Here is an 18725-nt window from a genome sequence, read left to right as displayed (position 1 = left end):
ATGAAAGTAAACAAAATGCCTCATTTCTTAGTAATGAATTTTTCAAGTCTCTACATATCACCTACATTATACAAGTCATAGATGCAAATGGAAGAATTAACAGCTTTATTTCATCATCCCCAAACCTCTTACCTCCAGCACCTTCATGAATTATTTTTTTGGTAACTTCTTAAGAATAAATGCTCATTATTGGCAGCTTTGTGTATAAAGAATTACTTCAACCAGTCCAACTGCCTTATGTTATTTTGTGTGTTAGTCTAAAGACTAAGATTTTTTAGGATAAGGAGAGATGTGTATAGAACCTCAGAGTCATCAGCCCCTACAAATATTTTTTTTGCCTTTTGTGCTTTTTCCTAGAAAAACCAGCAGATACTCCCTCTGAGGAAGAGGACTTTGGTAAGTCATAGTCTGAGTATTAAGTGCTAAGAATCTTTCATGACAGTCTATCCATTGAGAAATATGTGATTCTTTTAAAATCTAGGAATAGCGAAATATTTGTTTGGTAAAGAATAATTGCTGACTGAAGCTTTTTTTGGATTCTTCTTTCAACTGTCTGTTTCTCCTTCCTGAAAGGGTTCCCTCTTTTTGGAGTTGTAAATGAATTTCCCAGGAAAAACATCATGCAGCTACTGATGCTTTATCACCCCAGCTCACCTGACACATCTTGTCTTCTTTCCTTCCTTTCAGCTCAGTTTGTGACTTTGACACATGAGTCTTGTTCAAATCTCTCTCTCCAATAAACACCTTCACTCTCCAGCTTTCATGACACTATGTGTGTATTATTCAGTCTTCTTTTTCCGACAGCCGGCTCTCTCCTTAGTCAGCCCCATAGAGTTGATTCTTGCTACTCAAAGTGTGGTCTGTAGACCAGCAGCATGAGTAGGACCTGGGAGTTGGAAATTCAGCATCTCAAGTCCCATCCCAGACTTATTGAATCAGAATCTGCACCTTCAGAAGATTCTCAGGTGATTCATGTGCAAACAAAAATTTCAGCAGCACTGGCTTCAAGAATTTCTCTTCCTTTGTGCAATCTCATTGCCCCTGAGGTATATAAATAAGTACTTTTACTCGGTGACTTCCAACATTACTTGGATCCCCAATCTTCAAATAAAAGATTATTATATATGTGGTGAGAATGTTAAAAGTCCATTCTATTAGCAATTTTAAAATATGCAATACATTATTATTAACGGTGATCACCATAGCAAGGTGATGGATATGTTAATTAGCTTAACTTAATCTTTCTACAATGTATATATACATAGAGCAAAACATCACATTGCAACCCATAAATATACACAATTATTGTTTGTCGATTAAATAAATGTATAAGAAAATATGATCATACATGTACTTTCCTGCCTCTTTTCTCAAAACCCATTTATTGACTCTCATGTACTTTAATTTTACCTACTTAGATGCTGCTGTTTGTTCTCACACTTAGATAGCATTTTACAGTTTCAAAATTCCTTCATATAGATTTTGTTACTTAATCATATATGATCATATAAGGTAGAAAGGTAGGTAATAGAAACTTTTGTAGAGGCTATTTTGTAAATTTCCATTTGTAATTTTTTAATCTCAGGGGTTGAAATAAAAAGGTAAAAAATGTATCAGCAGATGGTTTTTTCCTACCTTAAAACAAAGTAGAGGTCAAGTCTTTTTTGTGCCATCAGAAGTCTGAATCATTCTGCCTCAAAATGTATCATGGGTCAAAATAATGTTTTTTGCTCAGTATGATCTGAGTTATGTTTTTATTCATATACCTTGTCTTCTCACTTGGAATAAAGTAATTAGGCCTAAAATAAAGCCCTCATCTTTCTCACAAGGTTTATGAGATAAATAAGCTAATGAGGAAAAACACTCCACTTCTGATATAAAGTAGCCCAAGGAGAGAAGTACCACTGAGTGCTGCTTCTGCTTGAATGGACAGAAGTAAAAGAAAGAGGAAAGGTTCAATATAGGATATTGTACTATGCCATTTCCATTCTCCCAGACAAGGTATTACTGGGATAACTCTGCTGAGTCATGGCCCAGGAGGAACTGTTGGTTTTGCATCCACTAAAAGTGCATCTCAGCAGAGGGAAACACTCCCAGATCCTAAGATCTGGGGTGCACTCAGTATTCAGGGGTGAGTGGATAAACAGGCCTTGGATTTCAATTGGGTGGATGATGGCATTTTTGTCTTTTCTTTTTGGTTCATTCACTCCACATTTACACTTCTTTTTAAGAGCCTGATATTAAAGAAAGCTTAACTGTGCTAACAATGGGGGTAAGCTTGGGAGAACTGGAGTGTTATTGGTGTTAACCCATAGGACACATTCTTCAACAGCCTTGTGTTCCAAAGAAGCTGAGGCCCACCAAAGCCAGTGGCTCGTTTCACTTCCTCTTCTGTTACAGGGAAGGGTTGACCTCATCCTTTCCAAGGCTCATAGTACCTCTATCAGCATTGCCTCTTCAAAGACTTTGCTCTTGCAATTATCCCCTCTCTCTCTTGCCTACATGTAAATATGCCTTAATACAGCCGCCTGAAATTTATTTAAAAAAAATGATCAATTAACCCTTTCATCACGCTAAAACTCAAAAGAATTGTTTATAGGCATTGACTCCACTTTTCTCCTATTCTCTCATTAACCCACTCCAACTGGAGTTGTATCTGCATTACTTCATGAAACAGTTTTTTATCATTTCCACAGACTTGTATCTTGCTCTTCCATTACAGAATTCTTTTCCTCACCTTACTCTCTCTCAGCAGCATTTAGCATGCTCAGCCACTCTACTTTTTTAAACTTTCCTCTTCTGCTTCCAAGATACCACACTCTCCTGGGTTTCCTCCTGACTCTCTGATCTCTCCTTCTCTGGCCAGTCGCTCACACTTAAAGTCTGGGTGTTGGAGAGCCCCCAGGATGCATTTTCTCTGACTTTTCTAGGTAATTGTATCTGATCCCATAGTTTTAAATACCATGAATGTGCTGTTAAGTCCTAGATTTACATCTCTAGCCCTGATTGCTCTTTCTTGCCCTGGACTTATTTATTTGACTTTATACCCCACCAAATCTGCTCTTGTGTCTACCTTCCTTTCTCTAATAAGGGCATCACCACTCACCATCTCCACTAAATTGCTTCATTCAAACAACTGTTATTTCTCAGTTAGATACCTACCATTACCTCCTAACTCATTTTTATCTGCAGCTATTACCCTACTCTGGTCTATTCTCCACAAAATAATCAGACAAATCTGTTTATAATTACAGTTCCTATTTTCAAAATCAAGTTGTGAAGTGAGCAAATAAATAACCAACTGCTATTTAAAATGCTCAAAGCACAATTCTAATGAGTCAATATTACTTTTTTCATTTATCACATTTTATCTAATTTATAGTACATAATTATCAAACCACAAAAGCAAATATATTAGCCTAAAGTACAGTATGCCATTTTGGATATTGGCTACTTTGCCCCTACCAATTTGATTCTGACATGTCAAAATCTTTATTTATAACCTAACATAAACATATATTACTTTAAAGTATACAGGATAAAGAAGAGTTTTTAACCCTTTGTAATAACATAAAACATGATTACATTGTCATATGTATACATATGTATGGGCATATGTGTATGTATACAGAGAGTCTTTTTAAATGAGGTATCAATACTTGTTTCATAATAATCCTTCAAATAACACTTCCTTAGCCAAATCAAAGAAAGTTGAGATGGCTTTCCAGCTTTTTTAGGCAAAGATCTGCATGACATGCGAGACAATGAAAACAGTGTTTAGATATTTTTCTATCTTATTCTTTGAATTTCAAATTTTATTTTAGATTCAGAGGGCACATGTGCAGGCTTGTTACAAGAGTATATTGCATGACGTGAGGGTTTGGGATAGAACTATTGAGGTAGAATCTGTCACCCAAATAGTGAGCAGAGTACCCAATAGGTTGATTTTCAACCCTTGTCCCCATCCTCACTCCCATCTTATAGTCCCTAGTGTCTATTGTTCCCATGTTTATGTCTGTATGTACCCAATGTTTAGCTCCCACTTATACGGGAAAATATGCAGTGTTTGGCTTTCTATTTCTGCATCAATTAACTTAGGATGATGGCCTCCACCTACATCCATGTTGCTTCAAAGGACATAATTTCTCTCTTTTTGTGGCTGCATAGTATTCCCTGGTGTATATGTACCACAGTTTCTTTATCCATTCCACTGTTGATGGGCACCTAGTTTGATTCCATATCTTTGCTATTGTGAATCCTGGTGCAATAAACATACAAGTGCAGGTGTCTTTTTGGTAGAACAATTTCTTTTCCTTTGGATATATACCAAGCAATGGGATTGCTAGGTTGAGCAGTAGTTCTATTTTTGCTTCTTTGAGAAATCTCCAAACTGCTTTCCACAGTGACTGAACTCATTTACATTCCTACCAACAGCATAAAGAGTTCCTTTTTCTCTGTGTACTCACCAACATCTGTTATTTTTTAACTTTTTTATAATTACCACTCTCACTGGTGTGAGATGGTATTGCTTTGTGGTTTTGATTTGCATTTCTCTGATGATGCATGATGTGAAGCATTTTTTTCGTTTGTTTCTTGGCCACTTGTATATCTTCTTTTTGAAGTATCTTGTCCACCTTTTAATGGAATTGTTTTTTACTTGTTTGGTTAAGTTCCTTATAGATTCTGGATATTAGACCTTTGTTGGGTGCATAGTTTGCTATTAATATTTTATCCCATTATGTCAGTTGTCTCTTTACCTGTTGATAGTTTCTCTTGCTGTGCAGAAGCTCTTCAGTTTAATTAGGTCCCACTTGTCAATTTTTTTTTTTGAGACAGGTTCCCATTCTGTCCCTCAGGCTGAAGTACAGTGGCGTGATCATGGCTCACTGCAGCATAGACCTTCCTAGGCTCCAGTAATCCTTCCATCTTGGCCTTCTGAGTAGTTGGGACTATGTGCCACGATGCCTGGCTAATTTCTATGCTTTTTGTAGAGATGGGGGTCTCACTATGTTGCCCAGGCTGGTCTCAAACTTCCAGACTCAAGCAATCCACCCATCTTGGCCTCCCAAAGTGCTGGGATTACAGGTGTGAGCCACTGTGCCTGGCTTAATTTTTTTGTCGTTGTTGTTAAAATTGCTTTTGTGGACTTAGTTCTAAATTCTTTGCCAAGACCAATGTCTAGAAGGTTATTTCCTAGGTGGTGTTCTAGTATTCTTATAGTTTGAGGTCTTACATTTAAATATTCAATCCATCACGAGTTAAGTTTTGTATATGGTGATAGGTAGGAGGTCTAGTTTCTTTCTTTTGCATATGGATAGCCAGCTACCACAACACCATTTATTAAACAGGGAGTCCTTTCCTTATTGCTTATTATTGTTGGCTTTGTTGAAAGTCAGTTGGTTGTAGGAGTGCAGCTTTATTTCTGAGTTCTCTATTCTATTCCATGGGTCTATACGTCTGTTTTTATGTCAGTACCATGCTGTTTTGATTACTGTAGCCTTATAGTATAGTTTGAAATTAGGTAATGTGATGTCTGAAGTTGGGTAATGTGATGCCAACTTTGTTCTTTTTGTTTAGGATGCTTTGGCTATTTGGGCTCTTTTTTGGTTTTATATAAATTTTAGATTAGTTTTTTCTAATTCTGCAAAAAATGGTGTTGGTGGTTTGATAGGCATAATGTTGAATCTGTATATTGCTTTGGGCAGTATGGCCATTTAAACAATATTGATTCTTCCAATCTATGTGCAAGGAATATTTTTTCATTTTTTCATTTGATTGTGTCATCTATGATTTCTTTCAGCAGTGTTTGGTAGTTCTCCTTGTAGTTCTCTATTTTACACCATTGGTTAAATGTATTCCTAGGTATTTTATTTTATTTTTGGCTATTGTAAATGGGATTGTATTTTTGATTTGGCTATCAGCTTGAATGTTACTGCTGTACAGAAATGCTACTAGATTTTTACATTGATTTTGTATCCTAAAACTTTACTGAAGTCATTTATTATGTTTAGGAGTCTTTCAAGAGAGTCTTTAGAGTTTTCTTTGTATCGAGTTCTATCTTCAGTGGAGATGGACAATTTTACATATTCTTTTCCTATTTAGATCCGTTTTGTTTTGTTCTCTCACCTGATTGCACTAGCTAGGACTTCCAGTACTATACTGAATAGGAGTGGTGAGAGTGAGGATCCTTGTCTTGTTCTAGTTCCTCAAGGGAAATGCTTCCAGTTTTTGCTCTTTTAGTATGATGTTGGCTACAGGTTTTTCATAAATTGCTCATTATTTTGAGGTATGCTTCTTTAATGCTTAGTTTTGTTAGACATTTGAAGATTTTTAAAAAACTGAGAGTTTTTATTATGAAGGGATATTGGATTTTATCAAAAGCTTTCTTTGCATCTATTGAGATGATCATATGGTCTTTGTTTTTAATTCTGTTGATGTGATGAGTCACATTTATTGATTCATGTATGTTGAACCAACCTTGCATCCCAGGAATAAATCTTAATTGATAGGATGAATTAGCTTATTGATGTGCTGCTGGATTTGATTTGCTCATTTTTTTTTTTTTTTTGTTAAGGATTTTTGTGTCTAAGTTCATCAAGGGTATTGGCCTGGAGTTTTCTTTGTTTCTTGTGTCTTTGCCAGATTTTGGTATCAGAATGATGCTGGTTTTGTAGAATGAATTAGGGAGGAGTCTCCTCTCCTTGATTTTTTGGAATAGTTTCAGTAAGATTGGTACCAGCTCTTCTTTATACACCTGGTAGAATTTGGCTCTGAGTTTGTCTGCTACAGGGCTTTTTTTGGTTGGTACATTTTTTGTTACTGGCTCTATTTCAGAATTCATTATTGGCCTGTTCAGTGTTTCAGTTTCTTCCTGATTAAATCTTGGGAGACTATGAATTTACCCATTTCCTCTAGATTTTTTAGTTTGTTTAGATAGATGTATTCATAGTTGTCTCTGAGGATCTTTTGTATTTCTATGGGATTGGTTGTAATGTCACCATTGTCGTTGGCATTGTGCTCATTTGAATTGTCTCTCTTTTTTTCTTTTTTAATCTAGCTAGTAGTCTATTGGCGTTATTTGTTTCTCCTTTCAAAGAACCAATTTTTTGTTTTGTTGATCCTTTTTAATGAATTTTGGCATCTCAATGTCAATTAGTTCTCTTCTGATTTTAGTAATTTATTTTCTTCTGCCAGCTTTGGGATTAGTTTGTTCTTGTTTTTCTAGTTCCTCTAAGTGTGATATTAGATTGTTAATTTGAGATTTTTCTAACTTCTCAATATAGGTATGTAGTGCTATAAACTTTCCTCTTAACACTGCTTTTGCTGCATCCCAGAGATTTTGCTATGTTGTGTCTCTCTTTTCATTTATTTCAAAGAATTTTTTTATTTCATTAATTTTGTTGGTTACCCAAAAGTCATTCAGGAGCTTACTTTTCATGTAGTTGTGTGGTTTTGAGAAATCCTCTTGGCGTTGATATATATTTTTATTCCACTGTGGTCTGAGAATATGTCTAGTGTGATTTCAGTTTTTTAAAATTTATTGAGACTTGTTTTATGGCCAAGAATGTGGTTGATCTTAGACTATATTCCATATGCACATGAGAAGAATGTATATTCTGTGGTTGTTGGGTAGTATCTTGTAGATGTCTTTTAGGTCCGGTTGGTCAAGAATTGAATTTAGTCCAGAATTTCTTTGTTAGTTTTCTGCCTTGATGATCTAACACTCTTAGTTAGGGTATTGAGGTTCTCCATTATTATTGGATGTTTAAGTCTTTCCATAGGTGTAGAAGTACCTGTTTTATGAATCTGAGTGCTCCAGTGTTGAGTGCGTATATATTTAGGGCAAATATGTCTTTTTTGTTTAAATGAACGCTTTATCATTATGTAATACCCTTTTTTTGTCTTTTTTTCTGTTGTGAGTTTAAATCCTGTTTTATCTCATACAAGAATAGCCACTCCTGCTCTTTTTCATTTCCTGTTTATTTGATAGACCTTTTTCTATCCCAAAAGTCATTCAGGAGCAATGAGCCTATAGGTGTTGTTACACATGATATGTGTCTCTTGAAGACAGAGAAAGGTTGGGTCTTTTTTTTAAAAGAAAAATCCAATTTGCCACTCTATGCCTTTTAGTGGGGTGTTTAGGCCACTTATATTCAAGGTTAATATTGATATGTGAGTTTTTGTTTGTTTTTTTTTTTTTTAGACGGAGTCTCGCTCTGTTGCCCAGGCTGGAGTGCAGTGGAGCGATCTCGGCTCACTGCAAGCTCTGCCTCCCGGGTTCATGCCATTCTCCTGCCTCAGCCTCCCAAGTTGCTGGGACCACAGGCGCCCGCCACCACGCCTGGCTAATTTTTGTATTATTAGTAGAGACAGGGTTTCACCACGTTAGCCAGGATGGTCTTGATCTCCTGACCTCGTGATCCACCCGCCTCGGCCTCCCAAAGTGCTGGAATTACAGGCATGAGCCACTGCACATGGACGATATGTGAGGTTTTGATCCTGTTGTGATGTTGTTAGCTGGATACTTTGTAGTCTCAATTGTGTAGTTGTTAGCTGGATACTTTGTAGTCTCAATTGTGTAGTTATTTTTTATAGGTTCTGTGGACTATGTACTTATGTGTTTTTGTGGTAGCAAGTATTATTCTTTTATTTCCACATTTAGAACTCCTTTAAGTGTCTCTTATAAAACTGGTCTAGTGGTAATGAATTTTCTTTTTTTTTTTTTAATACTGTTTTTTTTTGGATTTATTTATTTATTTATTTATTTATTACACTTTAAGTTTTAGGGTACATGTGCACATTGTGCAGGTTAGTTACATATGTATACATGTGCCATGCTGGTGCGCTGCACCCACTAACTCGTCATCTAGCATTAGGTATATCTCCCAATGCTATCCCTCCCCCCTCCCCCCACCCCACAACAGTCACCAGAGTGTGATATTCCCCTTCCTGTGTCCAGGTGATCTCATTGTTCAATTCCCACCTATGAGTGAGAATATGTGGTGTTTGGTTTTTTGTTCTTGCGATAGTTTACTGAGAATGATGATTTCCAATTTCATCCATGTCCCTACAAAGGACATGAATTCATCATTTTTTATGGCTGCATAGTATTCCATGGTGTATATGTGCCACATTTTCTTAATCCAGTCTATCATTGTTGGACATTTGGGTTGGTTCCAAGTCTTTGCTATTGTGAATAATGCCGCAATAAACATACGTGTGCATGTGTCTTTATAGCAGCATGATTTATAGTCCTTTGGGTATATACCCAGTAATGGGATGGCTGGGTCAAATGGTATTTCTAGTTCTAGATCCCCGAGGAATCGCCACACTGACTTCCACAATGGTTGAACTAGTTTACAGTCCCACCAACAGTGTAAAAGTGTTCCTATTTCTCCACATCCTCTCCAGCACCTGTTGTTTCCTGACTTTTTAATGATTGCCATTCTAACTGGTGTGAGATGGTATCTCATTGTGGTTTTGATTTGCATTTCTCTGATGGCCAGTGATGATGAGCATTTTTTCATGTGTTTTTTGGCTGCATAAATGTCTTCTTTTGAGAAGTGTCTGTTCATGTCCTTCGCCCACTTTTTGATGGGGTTGTTTGTTTTTTTCTTGTAAATTTGTTTGAGTTCATTGTAGATTCTGGATATTAGCCCTTTGTCAGATGAGTAGGTTGCGAAAATTTTCTCCCATTTTGTAGGTTGCCTGTTCACTCTGATGGTAGTTTCTTTTGCTGCGCAGAAGCACTTTAGTTTAATTAGATCCCATTTGTCAATTTTGGCTTTTGTTGCCGTTGCTTTTGGTATTTTAGACATGAAGTCCTTGCACAAGCCTATGTCCTGAATGGTAATGCCTAGGTTTTCTTCTAGGATTTTTATGGTTTTAGGTCTAACTTGTAAGTCTTTAATCCATCTTGAATTGATTTTTGTATAAGGTGTAAGGAAGGGATCCAGTTTCAGCTTTCTACATATGGCTAGCCAGTTTTCCCAGCACCATTTATTAAATAGGGAATCCTTTCCCCATTGCTTGTTTTTTTCAGGTTTGTCAAAGATCAGATAGTTGTAGATATGCGGCGTTATTTCTGAGGGTTCTGTTCTGTTCCATTGATCTATATCTCTGTTTTGGTACCAGTACCATGCTGTTTTGCTTACTGTAGCCTTGTAGTATAGTTTGAAGTCAGGTAGTGTGATGCCTCCAGCTTTGTTCTTTTGGCTTAGGATTGCCTTGGCGATGCGGGCTCTTTTTTGGTTCCATATGAACTTTAAAGTAGTTTTTTCCAATTCTGTGAAGAAAGTCATTGGTAGCTTGATAGGGATGGCATTGAATCTGTAAATTACCTTGGACAGTATGGCCATTTTCACGATATTGACTTTTCCTACCCATGAGCATGGAATGTTCTTCCATTTGTTTGTATTCTCTTTTATTTCCTTGAGCAGCGGTTTGTAGTTCTCCTTGAAGACGTCCTTCACATCCCTTGTAAGTTGGATTCCTAGGTATTTTATTCTCTTTGAAGCAATTGTGAATGGGATTTCACTCATGATTTGGCTCTCTGTTTGTCTGTTGTTGGTGTATAGGAATGCTTGTGATTTTTGCACATTGATTTTGTATCCTGAGACTTTGCTGAAGTTGCTTATCAGCTTAAGGAGATTTTCGGCTGAGACAATGGGGTTTTCTAGATATACAATCATGTCATCTGCAAACAGGGACAATTTGACTTCCTCTTTTCCTAATTGAATACCCTTTATTTCCTTCTCCTGCCTAATTGCCCTGGCCAAAACTTCCAACACTATGTTGAATAGGAGTGGTGAGAGAGGGCATCCCTGTCTTGTGCCAGTTTTCAAAGGGAATGCTTCCAGTTTTTGCCCATTCAGTATGATATTGGCTGTGGGTTTGTCATAGATAGCTCTTATTATTTTGAAATACGTCCCATCAATGCCTAATTTATTGAGAGTTTTTAGCATGAGGGGTTGTTGAATTTTGTCAAAGGCTTTTTCTGCATCTATTGAGATAATCATGTGGTTTTTGTCTTTGGTTCTGTTTATATGCTGGATTACATTTATTGATTTGCGTATATTGAACCAGCCTTGCATCCCAGGGATGAAGCCGATTTGATCATGGTGGATAAGCTTTTGGATGTGCTGCTGGATTCGTTTTGCCAGTATTTTATTGAGGATTTTTGCATCAATGTTCATCAAGGATATTGGTCTAAAATTCTCTTTTTTGGTGGTGTCTCTGCCCGGCTTTGGTATCAGAATGATGCTGGCTTCATAAAATGAGTTAGGGAGGAGTCCCTCTTTTTCTATTGATTGGAATAATTTCAGAAGGAATGGTAGCAGCTCATCCTTATACCTCTGGTAGAATTTGGCTGTGAATCCATCTGGTCCTGGATTCTTTTTGGTCGGTAAGCTATTGATTATTGCCACAATTTCAGAGCCTGTTATTGGTCTATTCAGAGATTCAACTTCTTCCTGGTTTAGTCTTGGGAGAGTGTATGTGTCGAGGAATTTATCCATTTCTTCTAGATTTTCTAGTTTATTTGCGTAGAGATATTTGTAGTATTCTCTGATGGTAGTTTGTATTTCTGTGGGATTGGTGGCGATATCCCCTTTATCATTTTTTATTGTGTCTATTTGATTCTTCTCTCTTTTTTTCTTTATTAGTCTTGCTAGCGGTCTATCAATTTTGTTGATCCTTTCAAAAAACCAGCTCCTGGATTCATTAATTTTTTGAAGGGTTTTTTGTGTCTCTGTTTCCTTCAGTTCTGCTCTGATTTTAGTTATTTCTTGCCTTCTGCTAGCTTTTGAATGTGTTTGCTCTTGCTTTTCTAGTTCTTTTAATTGTGATGTTAGGGTGTCAATTTTGGATCTTTCCTGCTTTCTCTTGTGGGCATTTAGTGCTATGTATTTCCCTCTACACGCTGCTTTGAATGTGTCCCAGAGATTCTGGTATGTTGTGTCTTTGTTCTCATTGGTTTCAAAGAACATCTTTATTTCTGCCTTCATTTCATTATGTACCCAGTAGTCATTCAGGAGCAGGTTGTTCAGTTTCCATGTAGTTGAGTGGTTTTGAGTGAGATTCTTAATCCTGAGTTCTAGTTTGATTGCACTGTGGTATGAGAGATAGTTTGTTATAATCTCTGTTCTTTTACATTTGCTGAGGAGAGCTTTACTTCCAAGTATGTGGTCAATTTTGGAATAGGTGTGGTGTGGTGCTGAAAAAAATGTATATTCTGTTGATTTGGGGTGGAGAGTTCTGTAGATGTCTATTAGGTCCGCTTGGTGCAGAGCTGAGTTCAATTCCTGGGTATCCTTGTTGACTTTCTGTCTCATTGATCTGTCTAATGTTGACAGTGGGGTGTTAAAGTCTCCCATTATTAATGTGTGGGAGTCTAAGTCTCTTTGTAGGTCACTCAGGACTTGCTTTATGAATCTGGGTGCTCCTGTATTGGGTGCATATATATTTAGGATAGTTAGCTCTTCTTGTTGAATTGATCCCTTTACCATTATGTAATGGCCTTCTTTGTCTCTTTTGATCTTTGTTGGTTTGAAGTCTGTTTTATCAGAGACTAGGATTGCAACCCCTGCCTTTTTTTGTTTTCCATTTGCTTGGTAGATCTTCCTCCATCCTTTTATTTTGAGCCTATGTGTGTCTCTGCACGTGAGATGGGTTTCCTGAATACAGCACACTGATGGGTCTTGACTCTTTATCCAATTTGCCAGTCTGTGTCTTTCCATTGGAGCATTTAGTCCATTTACATGTAAAGTTAATATTGTTATGTGTGAATTAGATCCTGTCATTATGATGTTAGCTGGTTATTTTGCTCGTTAGTTCATGCAGTTTCTTCCTAGTCTAGATGGTCTTTACATTTTGGCATGATTTTGCAGCGGCTGGTACCGGTAGTTCCTTTCCATGTTTAGTGCTTCCTTCAGGAGCTCTTTTAGGGCAGGCCTGGTGGTGACAAAATCTCTCAGCATTTGCTTGTCTGTAAAGTATTTTATTTCTCCTTCGCTTATGAAGCTTAGTTTGGCTGGATATGAAATTCTGGGTTGACAATTCTTTTCTTTAAGAATGTTGAATATTGGCCCCCACTCTCTCCTGGCTTGTAGGGTTTCTGCTGAGAGATCTGCTGTTAGTCTGATGGGCTTCCCTTTGAGGGTAACCCGACCTTTCTCTCTGGCTGCCCTTAACATTTTTTCCTTCATTTCAACTTTGGTGAATCTGACAATTATGTGTCTTGGAGTTGCTGTTCTCGAGGAGTATCTCTGTGGCGTTCTCCGTATTTCCTGAATCTGAATGTTGGCCTGCCTTGCTAGATTGGGGAAGTTCTCCTGGATAATATCCTGCAGAGTATTTTCCAACTTGGTTCCATTCTCCCCGTCACTTTCAGGTACACCAATCAGACGTAGATTTGGTCTTTTCACATAGTCCCATATTTCTTGGAGGCTTTGCTCATTTCTTTTTATTCTTTTTTCTCTAAACTTCCCTTCTCGCTTCATTTCATTCATTTCATCTTCCATTGTAGGGGTGGGTTGCCCCTACACACCTGTGGGTGTTTCTCGTAAGGTGGGACGAGAGATTTGGAAAAGAAAAAGACACAGAGACAAAGTATAGAGAAAGAAATAAGGGGAACCGGGGAACCAGCGTTCAGCATATGGAGGATCCCGCCAGCCTCTGAGTTCCCTTAGTATTTATTCATCATTTGTGGGTGTTTCTCGAAGAGGGGGATGTGTCAGGGTCACAAGACAATTGTGGGGAGAGGGTCAGCAGACAAACACGTGAACAAAGGTCTTTGCATCATAGACAATGTAAAGGATTAAGTGCTGTGCTTTTAGATATGCATACACATAAACATCTCAATGCTTTACAAAGCAGTATTGCTGCCCGCAGGTCCCACCTCCAGCCCTAAGGCAGTTTTTCCCTATCTCAGTAGATGGAGCATACAATCGGGTTTTATACCGAGACATTCCATTGCCCAGGGACAGGCAGGAGACAGATGCCTTCCTCTTGTCTCAACTGCAAGAGGCATTCCTTCCTCTTTTACTAATCCTCCTCAGCACAGACCCTTTACGGGTGTCGGGCTGGGGGATGGTCAGGTCTTTCCCTTCCCACGAGGCCATATTTCAGACTATCACATGGGGAGAAACCTTGGACAATACCTGGCTTTCCTAGGCAGAGGTCCCTGCGGCCTTCCGCAGTTTTTGTGTCCCTGGGTACTTGAGATTAGGGAGTGGTGATGACTCTTAAGGAGCATGCTGCCTTCAAGCATCTGTTTAACAAAGCACATCTTGCACCGCCCTTAATCCATTTAACTCTGAGTTGACACAGCACACGTTTCAGAGAGCACGGGGTTGGGGGTAAGGTTATAGATTAACAGAATCTCAAGGCAGAAGAATTTTTCTTAGTACATAACAAAATGGAGTCTCCTATGTCTACTTCTTTCTACACAGACACAGTAACAATCTGATCTCTCTTGCTTTTCCCCACATTTCCCCCTTTTCTTTTCGACAAAACCGCCATCGTCATCATGGCCCGTTCTCGATGGTCGCTGTCTCTTCGGAGCTGTTGGGTACACCTGCAGACTAACAACAGACAAAACAGGCACACAAGGATTAATATGAGATTTATAATTGTAGTACTTCCAATGGTCTTAACCCAAGTGACAGGGTTAAGATTTGCGAGGCCATCAGCAACTCCTGCAATTGCCTCAGTTCCTGGCACCAAATTTAAATGGGCTTTTGATGCTTCGAAAATTTGTTCTTTTAATTTGGAAATGTCTAAAGTGAGATTATCTTCTCTTCCCTGTAGATGGCGTCTAACCATGTCCCAGTGATGCTCAGACTCATTATAAATTTGGGGTGTAATACAAAAATCTGACGTATTCCAGTCACATTGTAACTGGAAACGATGTTCTAAGCTCATGAGTCTGTCTCCCATCCAAATGACAGTTTGTCTAAGATCATTAATTTGATTTGCCAATTTTTGATCAATACTAGATTGTGAATTCCACAATCTTGTAGAATTATTTTGCCAATCATTAACAAAGTTTACTGACTGAACAGAAGAATGCAATGCAACTCCTGCTACAGCAGCCGTAGCTGTGACTGCAATTAATCCCATAATCACTGCAATTAAAGTAAAAATGAATCTTTTGGATCTATTTAAAACACCTTTTAATACTTCAGTCAAAATATGGACGGATGGTGAGGCCTCCCACGGTCGGTCCATGGACACAGGGATCCACACGCCCTCTCTTGCTCTCACCAGCAGAATACGGTGTTGCCAATTAAAAGTTGAATCAATGCAAGTAAGCAATCTACAATTTTCACAGGTTATAGTCTGGGAGTCTGGTTTAATAACTATATTTCCTACAACTAGCATATAAGGGGGCTTTACGCAACTTTGTAAAGGAACTGTTAGACTGGAATTTAGGTCGACAGTATAAAATGGCTTACGATCTCTTGTTTCTAAAGTTTGATTTCCAGACCAAATTCTAATGTGGTGTGAGGCCACAGTAAGCCTCCATAATTCTGGATGTTCAGGACCAGAAACAGGACTTACTATTTTTGGTCTTGGGGTAGAGATTCCTTTTTCTCCCCATTCCCAAGGGTAGAAAGACTGCAATTTTTTATGCTTATGTTTGTCTAAACTTTCTGTTAAGTCGCTATCAACAGCTGGACTCACTTGTGCACTTGGACACGACTGAGTTTGTCCTGAGCAATTGTGGTAGAATTGACCTCGAGGTGCCCAATCTATAATAGTTCCGAATTCATTGTTTTGTAATATCACCGCACTATTGGCCACACATTCTTCCCAAACTAAAACTTCTGTATTTTTTGATTCTTTGGGAATTTCCTTGGGGCAAGGTTTCCCTTTAGGTCTAAATTTTAATGATCTTTGATAAGGAAAGTCTTGTAAATAATTTACCCGTGGCCTGAGTGACATCCCGCTTACCATGTGATAAGTGAATCTACTGATGGGACTGACAGTAGGTACTTCCACCAACCAATTTTGGACTGCAGCCATTAAACATCCTGGTGCTCTCCCTAGGCAAATAGGAGGATAACGATACCCAATGGAAATATTTATCATCATCCCTTCTTCCTCAGGTTTGGCAGGGCAGCGATCATCTGTGGGGCCAGGTACCCATTCACTATCATTAACATATACTTCTATAGGATTATCCATCCATGTGACTGGTGTTACCATCTCCGTGGAGGCCCTTTTCTTTGCATCTCCGATGGGTTCATTGTAGAACTTCAAATGTCTAGTGGGTATCCAAACAGGAAGCTGATTTTCTCCTGGTGAAACACAAGCAAAACCTCTCCCCCACGTTATCACCTTACCTATTTCCCATGTCTTATTTTTATTATCTTTCCACCAAATTAGTTTTCCTTGAATAATGGCCTTACACACAGGTCTGTTCTCTGAGACCTGACTTGCCCAATATGCAGCCTTTCCTGTTGGATCAGTGCTTACAAGCCCTCCTATTCTTTTTATTTCACTATTTCCATCCTTAATATATGGCAGGAGTAATAATTGAGCAATCCTGTCTCCTGGACTGGCACTCCAAGGAATTGAAGAGCTAATAACCAATTGAATTTCACCTTTATAGTCTGAATCAACCACACTAGTATGAATTTGAACTCCTTTTAGATTTAGACTTGATCTTCCCAAGATTAGTCCTACAGTCCCCTCAGGCAGGGGGCCATATACCCCTGTGGGGATTTTTTGTGGGGGCTCCCCTGGAAGCAGAGAGACTGCTTGTATAGTACATAAATCTACTGCTGCACTGCCGCTTGTGGCGGGGGACAATTGTTGTATTGTGGTAACTGGCTTATTCCCTGAAACACTTGGGACAGTGGGGGTTGTTGTCCCTGAAAACCCTGAGGAACAAATGGCTGAATTGGGAATGCCCCAGTTTGTTGTGGGGCCTGAGGCTGGCCCCTTTGCTCATTTCCCGACAATGGTTGCCCATTTTTATCAAATTTAGAACGACATTGACTAGCCCAATGTTTTCCTTTTTTACATCTTGGACATAAGTCAGGTGGCTCTCTACCTGTTGTAGTTGGTTGAATAGTTATATTCTGTTTATTTAAGACTGGGCAATTCTTTTTTAAGTGACCAATTTGACCACAATTATAACATTTTCTTCCAAATGTTCTAACTTGCCCTCCTAAAACAACTCCTGTTATTGCTTGAGCCATAAGCATAGCTTTATGCATAGCTCCTCCGATTCCATCACAGGCTTTTACATATTCTGAGATTACATCTGATCCTGCAGGAACCTTTCCTTTTAATGGCTTAATGGCTGATTGACACTCAGGATTGGCGTTTTCATATGCCATCAACTCCACTATGACCTTACGGGCTTTTTCATCGGCAATTGACTTTTGAGCAACATCTTGGAGCCTTGCCACAAAATCAGGATAGGGCTCTTTTGAACCTTGTCTTACTGTATTAAATGAGGGGCAGGTACTTCCTGGGTCTTGGATTTTTTCCCAGGCTCTAAGGCAGATAGCTCTAACTTGTTCAATGGCCTCATTTTGCATTAATGCTTGTTGACTAATAGTACTCCAATTTTGACCTATTCCTAATAGTTGATCTGCATCTATGTTAACTGGAGGATTGGCAGCCCTATTTCTTCGGACCTGTTCTTGTACCCCATCAATCCACCAAGTCTTAAATTGTAAAAATTGAGAGGGTGAGAGAGACGATTTTGCCAGAATCTCCCAATCATAAGGAATGAGTCTATGTCCATGAGCAATGGAATCTAATAATGTCCTCATATAAGGAGAGTTGGGTCCATACTGTTTTACTCCCTCTTTCATATCTTTTAGCATTTTTATCGAAAAAGACTTGTATCTGGCCTCAACTGTGGGAGGCTCTCCCTCTTGGGCTCCTTCTCCAGGTGGCATTGGTTCTAACGTTACTGGGAATTGCCATGCCTCAGTATCTCCTTCCTTTCTTGATTTATCAATAATTTCATGTAATTCACTACCCTGTCTACTAGGTGGTGCCATAGGATTAAGTCTCCTAGTGGGCAGCTGAGGGTATGGCGCCCTGCCCTGTGGTGCTGGGGGCATTCCTGGATATCCATACTGACTTTCTGGGGGTGGCCGATACTGAAGTTCAGCCGGCGGCCAGTATTGATAAGCTACTGGCGGTTGGGTCTTATTTTCTTTAACCTGCGTTTGAGGTTGTAATCTTACGGGCACCTGACCTGCTGGAAGAGGACTTGTGCCTCGTGGTTTAGACTCTGATGGCCCCATTAATTCTGGACCTTTTCCTTCTAATTTTAACGTTTCAGGATATATCACCTCCTGTAATTGATTATAGTCAACATTTTGCGTTGACTGAGCCATTACCGGCTCTGCTACATATTTGCAATGTAAACTTTCCGTTTCTTTCTGGGATTTTTTCCTTGTCTTTTCATTACAATCTATTAAACAGCTTCCAGGGGCATCAGAAACTGAAATGCTATCTTCTTCTGTTTGAAATGGTTCTAAAGCTGCTTTAATAATGGCCCAATCATTCCATACTGTAAGTGGAATGATATTACCCTTCCTACCTGCTTGTTTTAGTTCCTTACCAATTCTTTTCCAATCTTTTAGATCTAAAGTTCCTTGTTCTGGAAACCATGGGCAAAATTGTTCTATTATTTGAAATAGCTTGATTAGATTTTTTGTAGATACTTTAACTCCCCCTCTTTTTAAAAGAATTTT

At 38.6% G+C, this 18725-nt stretch overlaps 1 protein-coding gene across 11 annotated transcripts in view; it reads left to right on the top strand.

The window, feature by feature from the left end:
- The window catches only part of SLC44A5 (solute carrier family 44 member 5), a 521887-nt gene that overhangs the window by 327037 nt on the left and 176125 nt on the right, over positions 1-18725 (top strand). For 8 of the 11 annotated variants that reach the window (XM_017000608.2, NM_001130058.2, NM_001320287.2 and 5 more), the window contains one exon: positions 358-396. The exons of the other annotated variants lie outside the window; for them this stretch is intronic. In XM_017000608.2, coding sequence (XP_016856097.1) covers positions 358-396 — 39 coding nt within the window. The remainder of the gene's footprint in view (positions 1-357; positions 397-18725) is intronic. 11 annotated transcript variants of the gene reach the window in all.

Source organism: Homo sapiens, chromosome 1, assembly GCF_000001405.40.
Source record: "Homo sapiens chromosome 1, GRCh38.p14 Primary Assembly".
Lineage (NCBI taxonomy): Eukaryota > Metazoa > Chordata > Mammalia > Primates > Hominidae > Homo > Homo sapiens.
Note: the sequence above shows the minus strand (reverse complement) of the source record. Positions and strands in the feature narration are given on the sequence as shown.